This window comes from Homo sapiens, chromosome 4 (assembly GCF_000001405.40).
Source record: "Homo sapiens chromosome 4, GRCh38.p14 Primary Assembly".
Classification (NCBI taxonomy): Eukaryota; Metazoa; Chordata; class Mammalia; order Primates; family Hominidae; genus Homo; species Homo sapiens.
Genome location: NC_000004.12, coordinates 26939316 through 26959384, shown reverse-complemented (window position 1 = coordinate 26959384; position 20069 = coordinate 26939316). Strand labels below are relative to the sequence as shown.

Genomic DNA, 20069 nt, shown 5'->3' with positions numbered 1-20069 from the left:
AGTGGTTTCACTGAGACCATAACCCTTGATAAAGACTTTAACAAAGGAGGTGATGGAGTTAGCCATGAGGATGTGTGCATTCCTGCATTTGTTGAATAGCCACAGGTCCAGAATGAATGGAGCACAGTGAGCGAGAGAGATGCATGGAATAGAAGAGGTAAGAGATGAGAGAGAGGTGGAAACAGAAGGCAGAACATGTAGAGGCTTACGGGTCTTTGTAAAGATTTGGACTATTACTCTGAGTCACTACAGAGTAATGAGCAGATCTAATTTACATTTTAGAGTACTCTGCTAGGTGAAGAAGAGACTACAGCAGAGCACAAACACAGGGAGATGAATTAGGCTGTCACAATTATCCAGGCAAGAGACGATGGTGGCTGAACAAAGGTAGTACAAGACCTAAGTGGTCAAATATTTTTTTCTTCATTCAAACACAGTCAAGTGGGTTCCAATCAATGTATTACATATTTTAATCCTTAAAAAAATACTAATAGCAATAGACTCTGTAATGGATCTCCACCTCCCTTCTTAGTATCTATGGATTGCTGAGCTATGTCGTGTCAATAAAATAAGTTTGTTGCTGAGTTCCCCACCATTTTCACTTTTCCTCATGAAACTGATATTTGTTTATTTCTATTCCTATCCGAGCTCATGTTATTTTAAAATGGTGTAGGGAAGAGAAATGGAGAGGTTTTTTTAAAAGTCTATATATTTTTCTTTTAAGTGCATAATTGTTTTCTTCTTTCTTCCCCAACCCAAGTGTATTTCAACAGAAACACATGTAAGCAAGCTATCTACCATCTTCTACACTAAGAAAAATACTGAGCATTGGTGGGACAGTTTTATTTATTTTCCCACTTCTAAATGTTATCATAATGACTCAAGTAAACTTTATTATTTCTTTACACTCTTAATTGGTAATCTGTCCCTTTAATTTCGTTTAATTTTTCAGAGAAAAATATATGCTTACAATATAATTGCTGACTTTTATGAAAGAACAGAAGCATTAGAAAGAAGGAATTTTAGTTGAGTTACTGAAAACAAAATGTAAGTTTAGGGGACTTGTAAAATTTTTTTAATTTTAGTAACTTCCTAGTATATGGAACCAAGTTGAGATTTTTAGATCACAGACTTTTCCTGTACTAAACAATTACTGTCCATAATACACCTTGAGAACTTAACAGTAGAAAGGGAATAAAATACCAATTATCCAATTTTATCATACACCTATTACGAGACATCATAAAGGATTTACTTAAGAAAAAGCTTAACAGTAATAGCCTCCTAAAAACATTAGGAACTATTCTCCACAACTAAAAGGAAAACTTTGTGTTTCCATATGTTTATTTGCTAAACCTTTTATAATAATGTCACGTAATAGCTGAAATAATGCTTTACAACTTTAGGCTCTCAGACATGCATTATCTTATTTATTCTACTATAATTATATGAGAACAGCCTGATGCTTAATGACTCTCAGAAAGATAAAAATCATCTATCAAAAACAAGAAGGGAAAATTATTTACTAAAATATAAATATCCTCACAGAAATGTTATTTTGATTTTTTTGGTAAAAGCATACTATAAGTGAGTTGAGAACAACTAAGCAGGCTAGATGTGCAGAAGGGGAGGGGGCCAGATCACAAAGGCAGTCTTACCTTCTGATGTTTTCCATCGTTTCCATAAATCCTCAATCGTTATATGTTTATCTTCTCTGTGCAGATGGCTGTGTTTATTAGTAGCATCTTTATATTTCATATCTTCTCTGATGAACTATAGAAGAGAAAACATTAAGTTAAATATAAATTCATTACCTTAGTCTTGACAACTAGAGAAAAAGATGAAATCTGATATCCAGTGGGTGACTATTTTCAAACAGTAACTGGCAAATTTTTGGTATTGTAGTCACATTATTCTTACATGTTTGTAAAATGTATTTAATGAAATGTCTTCTGCTACTAATCGTAACGCCACCACCACCAGCAACAGCAGTAGAAGTACTTAGTCAATGTTTATTATTTACCGGGTATTATTCTAAGTTATATAACAAATAGGTGTATACAGTCACCCCCTCCTTATCTGTGGGTTCAGTATTCGTGGGATTGAAAATATTTGGGGGAAAATGGATGGCTGTGTCTGTACTGAACAGGTACAGAGTTTTAAAAATCATTATTCCCTAAACAATATATTACAACAACTATTTACATAGCATTTACACTGTATTAAGTACTGTAAGTAATCTAGAAACAATTTATATGGGAGGATGTCTGTAGGTTATATCCAAATGCTATATCATTTTTATATAAGGGATTTGAGTATCCATGAATTTTGGTATCCGCAGGGGAAGAGGGAGTCCTGAAACTAATCCCCCACAGACACCAAGGGACCACTGTATATCTGTCCATACAGAGAAAGTCATTTACCTTTACGACAGTCCTATAAGGAAAGCATTATTTATCTTCATTCAATAGATGAGAAACCAAGGCCCAAAGAGGCTAAGTAATTTGCCCAAGGTTGAAAAAATAATGAATATCGAGCTGAAATTCCAACGCAAGCCATTTGGTTATATTCAACAGCATAATATACTGCCTCAATATCACTGCATTCATTTTTACCAAATACTTGGTGACAGCGATGTTTCAAAACATAATAAATAATAATCTTCTCAATTACTGCATCATATTTCTATGTTCTTCTGCCTTTTTTAAGCTACTACTTTTAATTCAAAGACATTTGATTATGGTGTTTAGAGCTAAAGTATACTTTACAAAACTGAAGTATACCTTCTATTAATCTTACTTTGAAATATAGAGAGAGATAGGCTGAGGCAGGAGAATTGCTTGAGCCCAGGAGTTTGAGGCTGCAGTGAGCTATGATTGCACCACTGCACTCCAACCTGGGCAACAAGGCAAGAACCTGTCTCTTAAAAAAAAAAAAAAAAGGCATTGAAATCATCTTTGCTAAAAACTAACCTGTTCTATATTACTTTTTAAACCATTTCCCATTGTCTAACAATAAAAAGCAAACTCCATTTTATGGCTTAATACCACTTATTAATCTTATCTCTGAGAATCTTTTAGGCCTTATCTCTTGATACTTTGCTCATATATGTACCCATTACTCTAATTATGTGAAACTAATAGTTTTTAAATTGTTTATGCTTTTTCTACCTCAATATTTTTTATTTTTCTTGTCTCGTTATTTTATATGGTATCTTTTTTTTCTATTGTTCCAAAACTATAAGATCACATAAAAGATTTCAGAAGTCCACAATGCAGAAACTGAAAATTCCCCCACAGCTACAAATGCCAGAGGCATATTTTTCTGACTTTTACACTGGCAATGAACATCACCTTCAGACAAAACACCAAATTCTGCCTGAGTAGAGTTGCTGTCTACTGAAACTAAAAAAGAAAATTTTAACAATTGTATAATATTGAGCAAATCATTTAACTTTTCTGAGGCTCAACAACCTTGGGAGCAAAATAAAGAAACAATGTTCTAGGATCAACAACACTGTTGAACATGTGGTCATTCAGCAGAGTAGTGTCAGCATTATGGCAATTAGAAAACACTTCCACAGCAACTGGGCCGAGCATATGATAAATATGCTCACCTTGTCCACCCTGTACATATATACTGGAAATTAAACATCTGGTCTTTCGTCATCAAAAGTTTGAAAAGTACTAAACTAAAAAAATCTATGTAATCTGTTGTCTGCTCTAAATAGTGCCTTACTCCTTTTTACTAAATGCTGCCTTAAGTTATATTTAAGGGGGCCTGCCTGAATGCTACAAGTCCTCCTGTCATCCAACTCTTCTTGACTGACACCTTCAAAATTCAGTAGAGACTACCAAAGAGATGCTCAGAAGTTGTCTCTATCTTGGAAAAAGTCCAAGAGCTGGAAAGAAATTCTAGACTGAAAATCATAATAATGGACATAGCAGGGAGGAAATCTGCCTTGGAAATGGTCCAATCAGTTGGAACAAATGGCAACTGTTTCATTTACGTAATATATATTAAAGACAATGTCCTAAAAAATTATCTTTACTACATGAACTCAAACAATCTAAACGTGCAGTTCTGTGATTTCAGGATCAATATATTACAGAAAATAAGCAAATTTCCACATGACTAGATGTGGTATTCTAGCCACTTAACTATTTTAGAAAAGCCAGAATGAGCTTATGGATATATGCCAAACATACTTAACAAAATAAAAGATTTTTTTAATTTTTTAAAACTTTTGAAGATACCTATAGCTCATATGGTATAAAAGAACTCCTAAGAATTCCTAAGAATTCTTAGAAATAAAATTTCTAAGAAATTTTATTTCTAAGGAATTTAATTTCTAAGAAATTTCTAAGAAAAAATAATAAAGAATTCCTAAGAAATAAAATTCCTAATAAAGTTGGGTGAAAATTGAATAAACACAATGAATTGTATTTTCCCTGGAATTACCATCTAAAAATACTTCTGTTTTAAAACAGAAGTATGTCTCCAGGATATCACAATAACTCGTAACAAACCACATGAAATAAAAGTATATTCTGTATCTTACAGATCTTCAACATGCTGATCACGGAATGTGACTAGAAACCAGTATAATTAGAAATATTTTTGTTTAGAAAATGTTTAAATGAACCAAACACATTAAAAATCATCAGGTTCTATGGAACCTTTTCCCAGTATCCTAAAGAAAAAAGCATATAATTCTGATTGTTCAGACTTTTCAAAAACTTTATTAAAAACCCCTCCTCATTTTAGCAATGAAGTAGGGTAACTACAGAAATTTTAAAACAGTCACCAATAACTGAAAATGCATACACAAAAGACAAATACTTCTTCTTTGTATTCATTTGTCAAAAGACAAATACTTCTTATTTGGAATTCATGAATTGAGAAATCTGAAAATAGGATCTGAAATTCAATGAAGTGAGTCTTCAAATAATGTACGGCAAATAATGTAGAGTTCCCTGGTAAATACACCCAATTATATGCAAACCTACTATAGGGAATCCTAAATTGACAAGGTACATAAGGGAGTGCTCAGCAAATAAATGACTACTGAATATTCTTTTTAAAAGATTCGCTCAGACGATTCTTTTAAATAAACTCTTCTAGTACCACTGAAAGTTAATGCTTTACATATCCAGTTTGGGGAAGTTAGTTTTCATATAATAAACTGATTTCAGTTTCTCATACCTGTAACTTAAATGTTGTATTTGTGCTGTTATTTTTATGACACCACTTTAATAAAATCTGATATATGTTATTATAGACACATTCTGGGGCTGTATTCAGGCCATACCCTTTTCCCAGACAAATACTCACCAACATTAGTGTAGATCCCTGTGTGTGTCTAGTCACCCCCTCTCAATCTATCATCCATAACCACAGCTATCTGATCAAAGGACTGACAGACACCTCACCTAGAGGAGAACAACCCTGAGCCTGTGCCAGGATGGCAGGATTCTTCTCACAGTAAATTATAACTGAGATCATGAAAAACTGGACCACTTGGCCATGGCTCTGGACTTTTAGGGTGATAAACACACTGATGTTGAATGTACCATTTTATGAGTAGTCGAGACAGTCTAGGTGGTAAGGCAAACAGAGGAAGCCAATAAATATGCAGAAAGAGAAAATAATGAAAGAGAACAGAGGTGACCACAGGGAAAGACATAGCACCAGGAACAGCCTCCATTCTTGGTGACTTTCTACTTTTAGTTCCTCGGGAGGCCTGTTTTGCACAATTTTTATCCTGATTTCCATAAGTCTGTTTCCCCTTCTATTTTTAGATACATAATTTTAAGACGTCAATACTCAGGAGAGGTGATTTATCATCATAGGCATGCAGACTCAAGTCTGACATATACTCAAAACCTGACTCCACTACTTACTATAAGACATTTGCAAGCATTTAAGTGCTCATTAGCCCCATTTTTCTCTTCTGTAGAATGAGGAAAATAAAATTGTCTACTACATAAGGTTACAAAGATTAAATTAAAAGGCATACATAGTATATGCAAAAGTGTTAGACAAAATATTTTGAGTGGTTTTTATATGTCCATGTTGAATCAATGTCAAAGTTTAAAACATGAATAAATGAGCATCACTCTGATTATATTGGAAGGTTTAATACATGTTTTGGGGAATATCAGACATTTATGTAAGGTTTCCCAATACACCCATTTCAGATATCCTGAAACAAAATACATAACAGGGATGGAGCGGAAAACCACCACAGTTTCTTTACTGACAATGTAAGCAGAGACTTTCCCAAACGACACCTGTCATCAAAACAACACAATGTCCAAGGTCTGATATGTGAGTCAGTAAAACAGATGGGTTCTTCATAAACAATTGCAAGGTCTTGAAAATACTACTAAAATAGCTTAGTATAATGTCTCAGAGGAAAAAATCCACAAGAAAAGTACTACTATTATTCCCACTTTTAAAGATGAAAAAACTAAGGCTAAGAGAGAGTCAGTAATGTATTCTATTTCATATAGCTATTTAAAAGGAGACCCAATTCTGGAAGTAAGTTTTAAAGAATTCTAAAGTCTAAGTTCTTCACCACCATGCTCACCTGGATGTTCTGTATAAATGCATGGATCCTAAACTCTTAGATGTGATAACATGTTAATAAAGCATGAACTGCCCATGTTTCTCTCTTCATCTTAAAACTGTTCTATCAAACAGATAGCACAGTGTTTGAGAGCACAGAATTGGTCTAGACTACACAGATATCTCAAATCTCCTACTTGTTTTATGACTGTAGTAAGTTACTTGACTCTCTGTGCTTCAGTTTTCTCCCCTGCAAAATGGTCACCTTCAAAGGGTTATGAGGATTAAGTTCTTTATTTCACATGAAGTGCAAAAAAAAAGTGCTTGGTACATAGTCGACACTCAATGTCAACTATTTTATTGTAAATCATTTATTTTTCAAAATAATGAGCTGAATTTTTACCTTGATTTACATATTCTGTATGATTTCTTGGACACGAATGAAGACAGTGTGAGGTACTACAAACACCAGCTGATAATCACTGATCTAAGAATTAAATCTACAAACAACAGCAATACCAAATCTTAACTGAAACTCACAACCCAAGACACCGTAATTTGTATAGAGATAGAGGTTACTATTAAGACATTCTTTGTTTTAATAACCTTGATCTCATCCTCTGATATGGTTTGGATGTGTCCCCACCCAAATCTCATCTTGAATTGTACTCCCATAATTCCCACCTGTTGTGGGAGGGACCCGGTGGGAGATAATTTGAATCATGGGGGCAGTTTCCCCCATACTGTTCTCGTGGTAGTAAGTCTCACAAGATCTGATGGTCTTGGTCTTATCAGGGGTTTCTGCTTTTGAATCTTCCTCATTTTCTCTTGCTGCCGCCATGTAAGAAGTCCTTTTGCCTCCCACCATGATCCAGCCAAAATCTACCATTAGGCTTTGGCCTCTGATGCCAGAACTCTGCATACCTAAATACCCACTTGAGTGTTTCTTGCCATCCATTACTTAGACATGATCAATACTCACACAATCACATAAGTTAACATTATATCCAATCACCATTACATCAAAAATATATATAGCAAGTCATTTGGAATTAACATTAATATTCATGTTAATATTCACTTTAAGTAGAGGTAAGCATTTCAGATTTAACAAATGAAAAAAATCTCCTTCTGTGTTTTATTTGCTAAACTTTAGTAAGTCAGAATTTGCATTACCAGCAAAGATGAGGTTACAGGGACCGGATTTACCATACTCACAGGCCCTCAAAAAACAACTAAAAAACAGACACAATATACAAACAACAGTTTTCAAGATACTGAACACAAGGCATGAACACAAGGCACTGAACACAAAGAACAGTGATCCCTGAGATGACCAGAAACAAACAACTGTGCCGTATGACTGCCCTAAATGAGTTCCTGGAGAGAATTTCTAGGAAAAGGTGCAAGAAGAGGGAACCCAACAGTGCCACGCAGTTTCCCTGAGTTGAAAAGACGGGACTTTGTGTGGGAAATGGCACATTCGTACATCTGTGGGAGTACAAACTAGTGTAACCTTTGCAGGGGGAAAATTCTAGCAATATCAATTAAAATGTTAAATGCTCATTACCTTTAACCAAGAATTTCTACTTTTCAGAATTTATTCTATAGTAACGCTCAGATAACTGTATAAAAAGTTCAAGAGTTTTCATTGCAATATTATGAATAAAAATTTTATGACTATCCAAACTGCCCACCAGTAATAAACATTTGACAAATTATGACACCATCAGGGCAAAATGTAAAAGCAGGTATATCCGTTTACCCTTAATAAAAAAGAAAAGCTTACAATATAGCTATCTGATATTTAATAAAATTACATCAGTTGAGTTTGATCACTCTGGAATTTGTTTCATGCTGATTAGAAGCTTTGATGGCTGATCTGATACATTTAAAAAAAAAAGAACAACAAACCTATGAAAGCTTCTAATGTACATTTTCATACTCTCTCTTAACTTCTAGCCTAATGTTACTTGGGTCCACCAAGGCACTGCTTGCTAACTCCCAAGAACAACACAGCATTCCCAGAGTCATAGGGTCACATGAAAGGAGGCATTCTATCAAAAAACACCTTTGTCTTAGTCCATTTTGTGCTGCTATAACAGAATAACTGAGACTGTGTGATTATTTATAAAGAACATAAGTTTATTTTTCTCACAGTTCTGGAGGCTGGGAAGTCCAAATCAAGGCACCAGCATCATCTGGTGAGTGCCTTGTTACTACATCCTAATATAGCAGAAGGCTAAAGGGCATAAAAGAGCACCCACTCCCACAGGCCCTTTTTATTGTGGCACTAATCCCCTCATAGTCTAAGCACCTCCCATGAGGCCCCACCACCCACCACTGTTACATTGTGGATTAAGCTTCCAACACATAAATTTTGGGGAACACATTCAAGCCATAATGCTTCTTCCAATCTGAATTTATGGTTCAAGAGAGAATCAAAATTTCTATCTAAAACAGGAGTGTGTAGATTGTACCATAGGTATGCAGTTTTTGTACATAAGATAATACCAATAAGACAAAAATTATATATTGAAGAAGCTTTTAATTTCAACAGAGTCAACTGAAAGCTGTTTTGTGTCATAAAAACATAAAGACTACAATTAGTCTGAATGCTTAAAACATGAAATAGCTGTCACTGGTTCTTTTTGATACTAGAGCTCTAATTAAGTTGTAGAGCACTAACAGTGGAAATATATTGCAGATAAGATTATGTGTTATATGGAAGGCCAGGTAATTATTTCTAGTATCCATCACTGAGAATACCGTGTGTTACACTTACTTTCACGTTAAGTGAGTACCTGTAAGCACTTAAAAGAAAGCTATATTGTATTTATAAAATACAATTTAGAAATATTCTTCATTAAAATATTTTAAGTATTCAATTTGATTAATATTTTTATAAAGCAAAAACGTAAAAACTTATGTATATATTTGCATATGATTTTATGAACATAAAGAATGTTACAGGAGAAAAATCACAAGCAGTAACACTGATAATGAATGGGGGATGGGATGGGCCATCAGGAAGATAAGAGGAGGAGCCAAGGAGGAAATACAATATTTACACATTAAACTGTGAGCACCTGCTTAAGTTAATACACACACATACGCAAATTCAACCATAAAGACCCTGAAGTAAGATGGAGGCATTTCAGAGTGAGACACAGGAAGCAGACCTAAAACTGTATCAGAACTGTTCCTCAAGCACACTGATTAGAGGTTATTACCACTTTCTTTGGAAAGAGAAGCTGGATACCAATTTCATAACCACTATAGGGCCTTTATTTCACTATACATATATATAATAAACCACACATAGTTCTCATTGAAAAAGAAACTTTACATTAGTACTTATAATTTTAATGATGAGTTATATAGTTCATCTAGTCACCAATAAAAGAATTTTACTACTTAACTATGTTAAAATACATAGAGGACTGTGAGATAAAATAAAGGTCAATAATTTAGACCATAAGACAGATCATACCAAAGTAAATTCTGGAGTTGCTACTTTTAGAAATATTTTGAATGAATACAGACATTGATAATTATGAGAAAGCTTTGTGGCACTCAGCATTCAGAGAATAACTCTGGCTATAAATATGGATAATATTAATAAAACCCAAAATATAATGTATCAAAATTAATTTGTCAAGATTTACTATGTAATAGGATAAGGAAAAATAAGAGACTATCTAAACAAAAAGAAAAGCAATTCTATTCTAAGTCCGTAAAAAGTGATATTGGAAGATTAAGACTGAAGAAAAAATAATATTCTACAAAGAAACAAAATGAATACACTGTATGTACTGTGTCAATTCACTAGGGTGTGCCTTACCTATCATCACCACTTAATAGTCATTATTCTGTAGTTCTCCTCATTTTTACTTCTCAAGGAAGCTAACAAGAATCTTCTAACAACCAAAGACTTGGTTTCTGAGAAGTCACTAGCCCTTTGTTACCCAATAATCCCAAGACTACTAATGGTCACTGCAATATTAATTACAATTTCCTTTAAAAAAAAAAACTAAAGAATTAGTAATACATAATTTATCCCACAATGTCAGAAAATGAAGGCATTTCCAGAATACTGAAGGCTGCCTCTTTTAGCACCAAAACATTCTAATTTTAAGCAATTTTAGTGGAAAACATTCTAAAATAAACTGCCTTATCATATGAAGTTTTGGGGAGGGGTTAAGATTTTCTTTTTATAGAGACAATGTCTCACTATGTTGCCTAGGCTGGTCTCGAACTCCTGGGCTCAAGCAATCCTTCCAACTTGCCTCCCGAAATACTAGGATTTCAGGCGTACGCCACTGTGCCTGATCAAATACAAGGCCATCATTTTGAACACTACTTCTTTTTGCAAACATGTCACGGTCTGCCAGTTCGTCCCCTCTGTGGAGATGCATGTTTGAATTGAGGAAGCCTAGCCAATAAGACTATCCCTATTCCACAGGGAGGGGCTGGAGGTAGGCATATGACCATGTCAGAACTATTAGAACCAATATGAATCCCACTCAGCACTTTCGTTGGAACACCTGGAAAAAATAAGCTCTCTCTGCTGTGGCCACAGAAAACTAGCAGGATTTGACCTAGAGCTGTTGAGAGATATACAGGGAGAATGAACCTGAGAATAATACGGCCAGCAAAGAAAGCAAAGCTGAGAGAGAGTGGCAGAGTTCTGATGACAGGTGTTCGAGCACAAGAATCCAATCATACCTGAACAATTCTAGATTGTTCAGCTATATGACCCAATACATTTCCTTTTTGCTTTTGTAAATTAGAATGGAATTTTCACCTGCAATATCCCTATTATGGAATGTTTACAGCATGTAAAAATTTTCCTGATTATAAAGAAAGATCCCTGTATATATATTTTTGCCAACTTCTGATGATTTCCTTTGGATAGGTTCTTAGAAAAAGATAGACATACGATTATAAGGCTTTTGATACACAGAGTCAAGTTGCCTCTGGAACAACTTTTATTATTTTTTTTTCATGTGTGCAAAGTACAGTTGTTAAAAACAAAACAACAGAAACAGAATGAAGAGGCCGTGGCTTCCGTGGGGCAGTGCCAAAGCAGAGCCCCACACACTCAGACCTGGGGAGGAAGCGCTTTATGCTCCAACAGGTCTAGGGCTGGCGAGCAGGAAGATGGGGTCTCACGTGTTGGCCCTCGTGGCAAAGAATGGAGATCTGGTGAGGCTGATGGAGGGCTGGAGAAAGCCTGATCAAGATGCGGCTGTGGCCTCAGCCCCCTCCTCCAAGTCCCACACTTCTGACTGCAGATAATCTGCAAAGAGAGCCCTGGCCCGGCCAATTTCCCCCACTCCCCACCCACACTGGTATTATGAGTACCTGAATCAAGACATTTTCACAAGCTTTATCATTTTATATATATATTTGTACCATTTGAAAAATAAAATGTAATACGTTTCGATATGAATTTATTATAATTTTAAGATTATAAATTCTCAAACTTTTATTAACTATTTGTATTTCGTATGTAAAATGTTTATTCCATACTTATTTTAATATGGGAATCTGTCAGTGTTCTCTCTAATAAAACAGAGAAAGAGAGACAGAGATGAAAGAAGAACAGCATCCCTCCAACCTCCTAAGTTCTGATGTTATCATGGGAGAATACAACACTTGGAGCTACTGCAGCCATGTCCAACCATGAGTAGAAAGCCAATGAAAGAAAAGCTAACGCAGAGACCTACACATCACTGAGCCTCTGTACTAACCTTAAAACCATTTAGCTCCTCACTTATGATAATGCATTTTCAAATATTAAACTCCTATTGTTCAAGCCACTTGAATTCAGGTATTCTATTACTTGCAGCCAAAATCATCCTAAAATATAGTCAAATAAAACTCTAGCTTGCTAGTCCCCATATCTTAGGTCTAGTATACAGGGTCTGGAATCATTTAATGACCAGTAGTAAGCAAAGATGGTTTTTGACACAGGGAAATAACACAAGAGACCGCGAATTATAAGAAACCACAAAACCAAACTGGTAAACTGATGTAATAAACCAGATTATCCAACTGCATATTTTTATGTCTATGCATCCTTTTTCTAAAGATTAAGGGATATAAAGCCATTCAAAATTTGTTTCAGCTTTGTAGGAAGCAAAAGGAAAGGGATATGCCATCGGAAAGTCAGAAAAAAAGAGTGCACAGAAGTGCAAGCATACAGGAGCATGTGGACATACATGTGTGCACGCATGCGTGCGCACACACACACACAAACTAGTCAGGTGACTACAGCAGCAAATAGTGAGGCCCCTCACACAGAGAAGAAAGATATCTGGAAGTAAGAGTCAAAGCTATGACTTGAGCAGTTCCACTCATCAGATTCTTCCTCCATTACTAATCTTAAAGAATCAGGTTTGATCAGACTACATTAAGGGAACGGACAGGTTCTTATCACAGGTTCCAATAAGTTCTGTTAAGTAATCACCTATATTTTCTTCTAATTTTGGTATAGTTTCACATTTGTCAATTTTTTAATATATCTGGTTTATTTTTGATATAAGGTGAAAGGTCAGAATTGAGTTTCATTCTCTAAATCTTAACTCATTACTCAAGCATTACTTATTGAAATAACTTTAATATTCCCAATAATCTGCAACACTATCTTTATACAACTGAAACATGGTAGGACATCAATGTTTGCCTATGGTTCAACTTAACCATAAACATACACAGTTCTGTTTCTGGGATATTCCATTTACTTTTTTCACTTTAATACTAATAGAAGAAAAATAATGATTTTTGCATGTCCAACTAACATTAATGACATCATATACAAATGCAACAATTTTACATATAAGACACATAGCACAAATCTAACTGACATCACTATAATGTTGTAAACATGCCATGGATTCCGAGACTTTATTTTCTAGAGCAGTTTTAGGTTCACAGGCTTGTTAAGTTCACAGCAACACTGAGTGAAAAGTACGAAAAGTTCCCAAATACAACTTAAATTTATGAGAAAAAAAAACCCCATTAAAAAGTGGGCAAAGGACATGAACAGACACTTCTCAAAATACGACATACATACAGCCAACAAGCATATGAAAAAAGCTCAACATCACTGATCATAAGAGAAATGCAAATCAAAACCACAATGAGATACCACTGCACACCAGTCAGAATGGCTATTATTAAAAGTCAAAAAATAACAGATGCTGGAGAGGTTGTAGAGAAAAAGGAACACTTTTACACTGTTGGTGGGAGTGTAAATTAGTTCAACCATTGTGGAAGACAGTGTGGCCATTCCTCAAAGACCTAGAGGCAGAAATACCATTCAAACTAGTGTATCTCATTACTGGGTATACACCCAAAGGAATATAAATCATATCTATCATTATAAAGACACATGCATATGTATGTTCACTGCAGTACAATTCACAATAGTAAAGACATGGAATCAACCTAAACGCCCATCAATGACAGACTGGATAAAGAAAATGCAGTACATTTACACCATGGAATACTACACAGCCATAAAAAGAACAAGATCATGTCTTTTGCAGGGACACAAATGAAACTGGAGGCCACTATCCTTAGCAAACTAACACAGGAACAGAAAACCAAATACTGCATGTTCTCATTTGTAAGTGGGAGCTAAATGATGAGAACACATGGACACATGGAGGGGAACAACACACACTGGAGACTCCCAGAGGGTGGGGGGTAAAAAGAGGGAGAGGATCAGGAAAAGTAACTAGTGGATACTAGGCTTAATACCTGGGTGATGAAATAATCTGTACAACAAACCCCCATGACACACATTTAATGATGTAACAAATCTGCACATCCTGCACATGTACTCCTGAACTTAAAAGTTACAAACAAAAAAGTTCCCAAATACTCTCTATTCCCACAACATACACTTTATTCATTTAAACATTCACCATGCACTATTAGATTTGAAAATCTTTATTGAACCACCTTCACAAATCCATGTACATAAGAATACATACGCATAGAGTTAACAGATAGTGTTGGGGAAAATACTATTCACGTGATTGACGAGAAAAACAGATATTCATTTATTGTTAATTGACAAACAACATTTTGTAACTTTGTGTGAGAAGCTTCTCACAAGTTACTAGAAAAGATTATTACACAATAGAAAAAAATAAACTTTTACAATACTAGTGTGAGCTCCTTGGTATCTTGTCACTCTTAATTGGAGTATTTAGTAATGGCTTCTATTTTAACAAATTTTAATTTGCATTGAGATAAAACACCATGAATGCACAATGCAATTATTTACAAAAATATTTACTGAGTATCTATTATGGACCAATGGTGGGAATAGAGCAAGACAAAAGAAACAAAAATCCCTACCCTCAGAGAGCATACTTCCTAGCATGTGAGACCCAGAAACTAAGAAAACAAGTCAAATCAAAAGTATATTGTTACTCGAAGCAAGTAAGGTTAATCTGCTAAGGAAATAGGGAATAAAAATACTTAAATATTTTGCTTGTATTTTAAAAATTAAAGAACAAGTAAACCATAAAATAAGAGGGGGAAAGGTTATCTTTAAAGGGATGGAGAAAATACGGTATATGAGACAAAGACAGAAGTGATACTTTTTGCATATACTTTGTTTCCTAGATTAGACTGTGGAACCATGTATATATTTGTATAAAACAATAATTATAAAAACAAAATTAATTTTAAAAGGTAATCCTTAAAAATCACAAGTAAAATAAAACAATTCAACCTAACCACATTATCTAGATAGTGGTATAACCATACAGTTAGGAACTATCCTCACTGATTTTAATCATATTTGCCTAGAGGGATATGTCTATAAACAAAAAAAAGAACTCCAAGATAATTAAACTGTTTTTGGTAATTACACCACTGGTTTTAACATTAGTATTCTTATCCTGACTAGTTATGCTGGTATTGTTAAGAATCAAAATTTTCAGTGTGACTACAGGAAAATACAGGGGTAAGACCAATAAAGTTAAATTAAAACCCTGTAGTACTAAATCTGAATCATAAATATCAGACTGAATTCATAGTGTATATTATCTTTGAAAAAAAAGTAACAACAAAATATTTCTTAGCCCCATCCACTGAGAAGACATAGAAACAATGACTAACGGAGCGCTGCTAGCACTTGGATTGGGGTCTATCAGATACTGTTTCTGACTAAACAAAATTAAAGCTCCTTGAAGAAACAGCTGAAGAAAGCAGAACTCTGGGGCCAGAAATGTACAAGCTGGACATGGAACATTTTGTCACTGCGGAAAGCAAGAAACCTATCAAAGGCGAGGTTGTGCCTAAAGGATCCAGGTGCGAGCCTAAGTAAGTTTCCACTGGCCAAAACTGGGGCAATTTAAACAACAACAAAAAAGATAACATAGCCTGAAGCTCATTTAAAATCATGAGTTCATGATACTAAACATACACACAAGCCTGCCTCTCATTGCCTTTAGAGGATCCTTGGAAACTACCTAATTATTTTGAATATGTGTAAATAAGGGGATTCAATCAATCATTTTTCTTGCCTTTCCTATACAAACAGGAAACCAAATAATTGATGTGTTAAAATGTTTCTTTAAAGAGTATTCCAATTAATGAAAAAAAAGGATAGAATTAAAATACTGGCATTTTTTCAACCATTAATAAATTAATGAATCCCAGCAACGATCAACAATGGCAGATGAGATCACAAAACATCAAGGATGATGCCAAATTTTTGGGCCCACTCAAAGATTGTTATAATGCAGCTGTTTAAACAGCAACTCCATTGTAAAAAACAAAGACAAGAGAGAAGAGATTTGAGTCAAGCAAGAAATCAGGACTCAATTTTAAACCTTAAATTTAAGATGACTAATAGATATCTAAGTAGAGATGTTGATGCAGTTGGATATATGAAGCCAGAGCTCAGGACTCGGTTACAGGGTATGTAAAAGCCTTGAAATTAGGTAAGATAACCAAGAGGGTCAGTAAAAATAAGCAAAGCAATGTACAGACTAATACGTGTAGTCCAAGGAGATAAAGGGGAAACCAGCAAAAAAACTGAAAAGCAGCAACCAATATAGTAGAAATAAAATAAGGATGGCATGGTTTCTCTAAGATCAAGTTTTTTAAAAAATTGCTTTAAAAAGGAAAATATATTAAACCATATCATGACACTAGTGAGTGATATGAAGACTGAGAACTGAACACTGCATAGCCACATGGACATCACTAATAAGCACAATAAGAATAATTTTGGTGGTGTAATGAAGTCAAAAGCCTAAGTGAGCTCAAGAAAAAACAAGAGGAGAGAAACAGTACAGAAGTCCTTTTGAGAGTTTTTGTTTTCTAATCAAAGGAGGGAAGAATGAGGCAATAACCAAAGGGAGAAGGAGAGTCAAGAAGTTCTTCTGTTGTGTGTAAAGGTAAGAAAAATAATGCCAGGTTTGAACACATGAGCAAATTACAGTAGAAAAGGGAAAATATGGTTGCTGAGGAGAGAAAAATTGCAAAAGGACTGCCTTAGAGTAGGGATAGGGGATGAGATCAAGTACACAGGTAAAGAAATTCACTTTGCAAGAACACAGACAGTGAATCCACAGTAGTAGGAGAGAAGATAAAGCTTATGGACACAAATGCAGATGGTGAGCCCCCAGTGGTTATCTGACACAGACAGTGAGAGAAAAAAACTTCCCAACCCCAATCGTAACATCTACAGTTAGTTGTTAGATTGCTGGGATAAGATTTTAAACATATCACCAAGTATGGGAAATAAACTAGCAATGGAATTTATTTTTAAATTAGTGACCAAACAATACACAACAGGTTTTACAGTAATACAAAGATTTCTCTTCATTGTCTTCTACAAAAGAAAGTGAAAGTTTTAAAATTTGAGAATCAAATCTCAATTAATACAATTGAGTGTGTAGTTTTCAAAATTCATCAAACTATACACCTAAAATCTCTACATTGAATTGTATATAAAATATAACTCAAAAAACTTTAAGCCATTAAGAATTTGAAGGAATTCATTATGTTATATAGGCACAATTTTATTCATTAAAAAGATACTTACCTTTAAAAGGTACTGCTCATCTCTTAGGATCTTTAAGAAAGCCAATAATTAGGAGATCCCATTAATTTGCTACATAGTATAATTTTTAAATGTCCTTTTTTAAGGGGAGAAAGTAAGAATTTAAATCTCGCTGCCATCAGTGAGATTCAGGGTAATAACTATAACCCATTTCTTTGAACATGAAAATCCTCTATCAATATTCAGGGAATACTGGCTTATTAGGCCTTCTGCTTATAATCTACAGAAAATTTCATTTCCCCCATCACCAAACATATGCTCTGTAACTAATGTTGGACAGGTAAAACACAAAGAGTGAACTGGATAAGGGATGGAAAATGGAAATACGGGTCAAGCTAAACTACAAACCAACAAATACCATAAAGGAATAGTGCAATGCAAGAGATTACTTTGGCTTGGAAGAAGGATGATAGAAGAAAATACAAAAAACAAGAAACAGAGAAAAGATTCCACTTGAACTAAATCTTTAAATTAATCTTAAAAGATGGTTTGACAAGCAAGATGAAACAAGAGACTGAACGAAATCCTAAGGGAAATGCCTGTATACTCATGAGAATACAGGATGTGTACAAAAAGCTGTCTGTCAGTAGGTCACTTTGGTTAAAGTAAAGAGCACACAAAGAAGCTTCACAGTAAGTGATCATGGCTACAAAGGCAGAATATGACCAGACTGTAAAAGATCATGAATGTCAAACTAAGAAGCCCAAACCATATTTGGAAGACTATGGCAGCAGTTCTCAGAGCATGGTCCCTGGACCAGCAGTATCAGCACTGCCTGGGAATCTATTAGAAATGCAAATTCTTGGGTCTCATCCCAGACCTACAGAATCACAAACTCTGAGGGTGGGCCCAGCCATCTGTGTTTTAACAAGTCTTCCTGGCAATTTTAATGCATACTAAAATTTGAGACCACTGGACTATGGGGCTCTAATATAAATTTTTGAGTAGGGGAGAGAATAGCAAAATATTATGTTCTAAAATGTTTAAACTAAGTAATAATTGTCAAAATGGATTTACAAAAAGGAAAAGATAAGCAATGGCAAGACTAGTTAGAAATCAAATAATAATAATAAAACTCAACTCAGAGAGGCAGACAAAGCAGCAAACAAAGATAAGGCTGGAGCACTAAGCCTCCGTTGTAGGTAAAACAGTGATACCACTAATAAAAACAACACCACATTTAAAGAGAAATAAGAATCAGTGTTTTTAAGGAAGGCAGTGATGGGTCCAGCATGAGACTTTCTAAAAAGAAAAGCACAGACAGAAAGCAATGTATTTCATTAGCACTTAGGACACTGAGTTGGAGATCTGCACAGGCCAAACATGAGAATGAAATTGTGGACAGAAGAAAGAACTGAATATTTGCAGAAGTGATCATTAAAACCATGGGCCTGAATAAAATGTCCTAGGAAGTGAAAGAAAGAGGCCCAAAGATAAAAATCTTACCGAAAACATACACACTTATGGTGGAGGAAAGGCAAGAGCAGGAAGAAGGAAAACCAAGCAGGTTCTTTTCAATCCTATCCTCAACAACATTAAGACTCCAGTCAGACCGCATGATTTGCTACTGAGTAAACCAGCACTCAAGGGGCTTGCTTTAGTACTTCCCTGTTCTGCACCTACATCACGGCATGTGCTTCCTATCATCTAAACCCATGAAAACTATTCCCATTTCACAAAGTTCGTCTTAACGACTCTACGCAGAGCTTTGTTTGATGCTCCCCTAACAGATGTGCATCACAAGAGCATGCCACGATTCATGTGTATTACTAGGACATCGTTTGCCGTAACATGCCTTGTGGTATATACATACATGACATTATATGCCCTACTAGACAGTTAACTCATGGGGCCTATATTCAGTTTTTCAATCTGCCCCATATTTAGTACAGTGCTAAATATATAAACGAGAACTTCAAAATCTTACATGTGTTTTGTTTTTAACCAAGTGGTCAACAATGCCCTTAGACCTGTTTGCCAAGCCCTTCAGGAGGCCAAAGAAAAGAAAACAAAGGGAAAATGAGAACAAAACAAAAACCACGCATAAAAATTTTCAAACATCCCCAATTAACACTTAAAAGACATTTCAGGTACTTGTATGATATTAAAAAATAATAAAGGTCAGTTAGCAAGGACTGACAATTAAAGTAAAAGGCTCTTAAATATTCATTATCAATTGTTTGTAACATTTTCAGGATCCCGGCAAAATATTCTTTAATTTTAAAAAGTTATCTTTATCCGATTCAGCCCTTTAGATCCAGTAAGATTATTAAAAGGCCAGTGGGGTGGTACAAAGCATGTCATCAATATTTGGTAGTACCAATGCTAAGTCAAGAACAATATCAGGCCAGACCCAGAAAGGCCAAGATAGAAAGTCTAATACAGATTTAGTAAGCAGGGG

General features: G+C 34.9%; 1 protein-coding gene across 3 annotated transcripts in view; it reads right to left on the bottom strand.

Annotated features, from left to right (window-relative positions):
- STIM2 (stromal interaction molecule 2) overlaps positions 1-20069 on the bottom strand; it is a 164541-nt gene that overhangs the window by 65997 nt on the left and 78475 nt on the right. For all 3 annotated transcript variants that reach the window (NM_001169118.2, NM_001169117.2, NM_020860.4), the window contains exon 3: positions 1659-1773. In NM_001169118.2, the coding sequence (NP_001162589.1) occupies positions 1659-1773 (115 nt within the window). The remainder of the gene's footprint in view (positions 1-1658; positions 1774-20069) is intronic.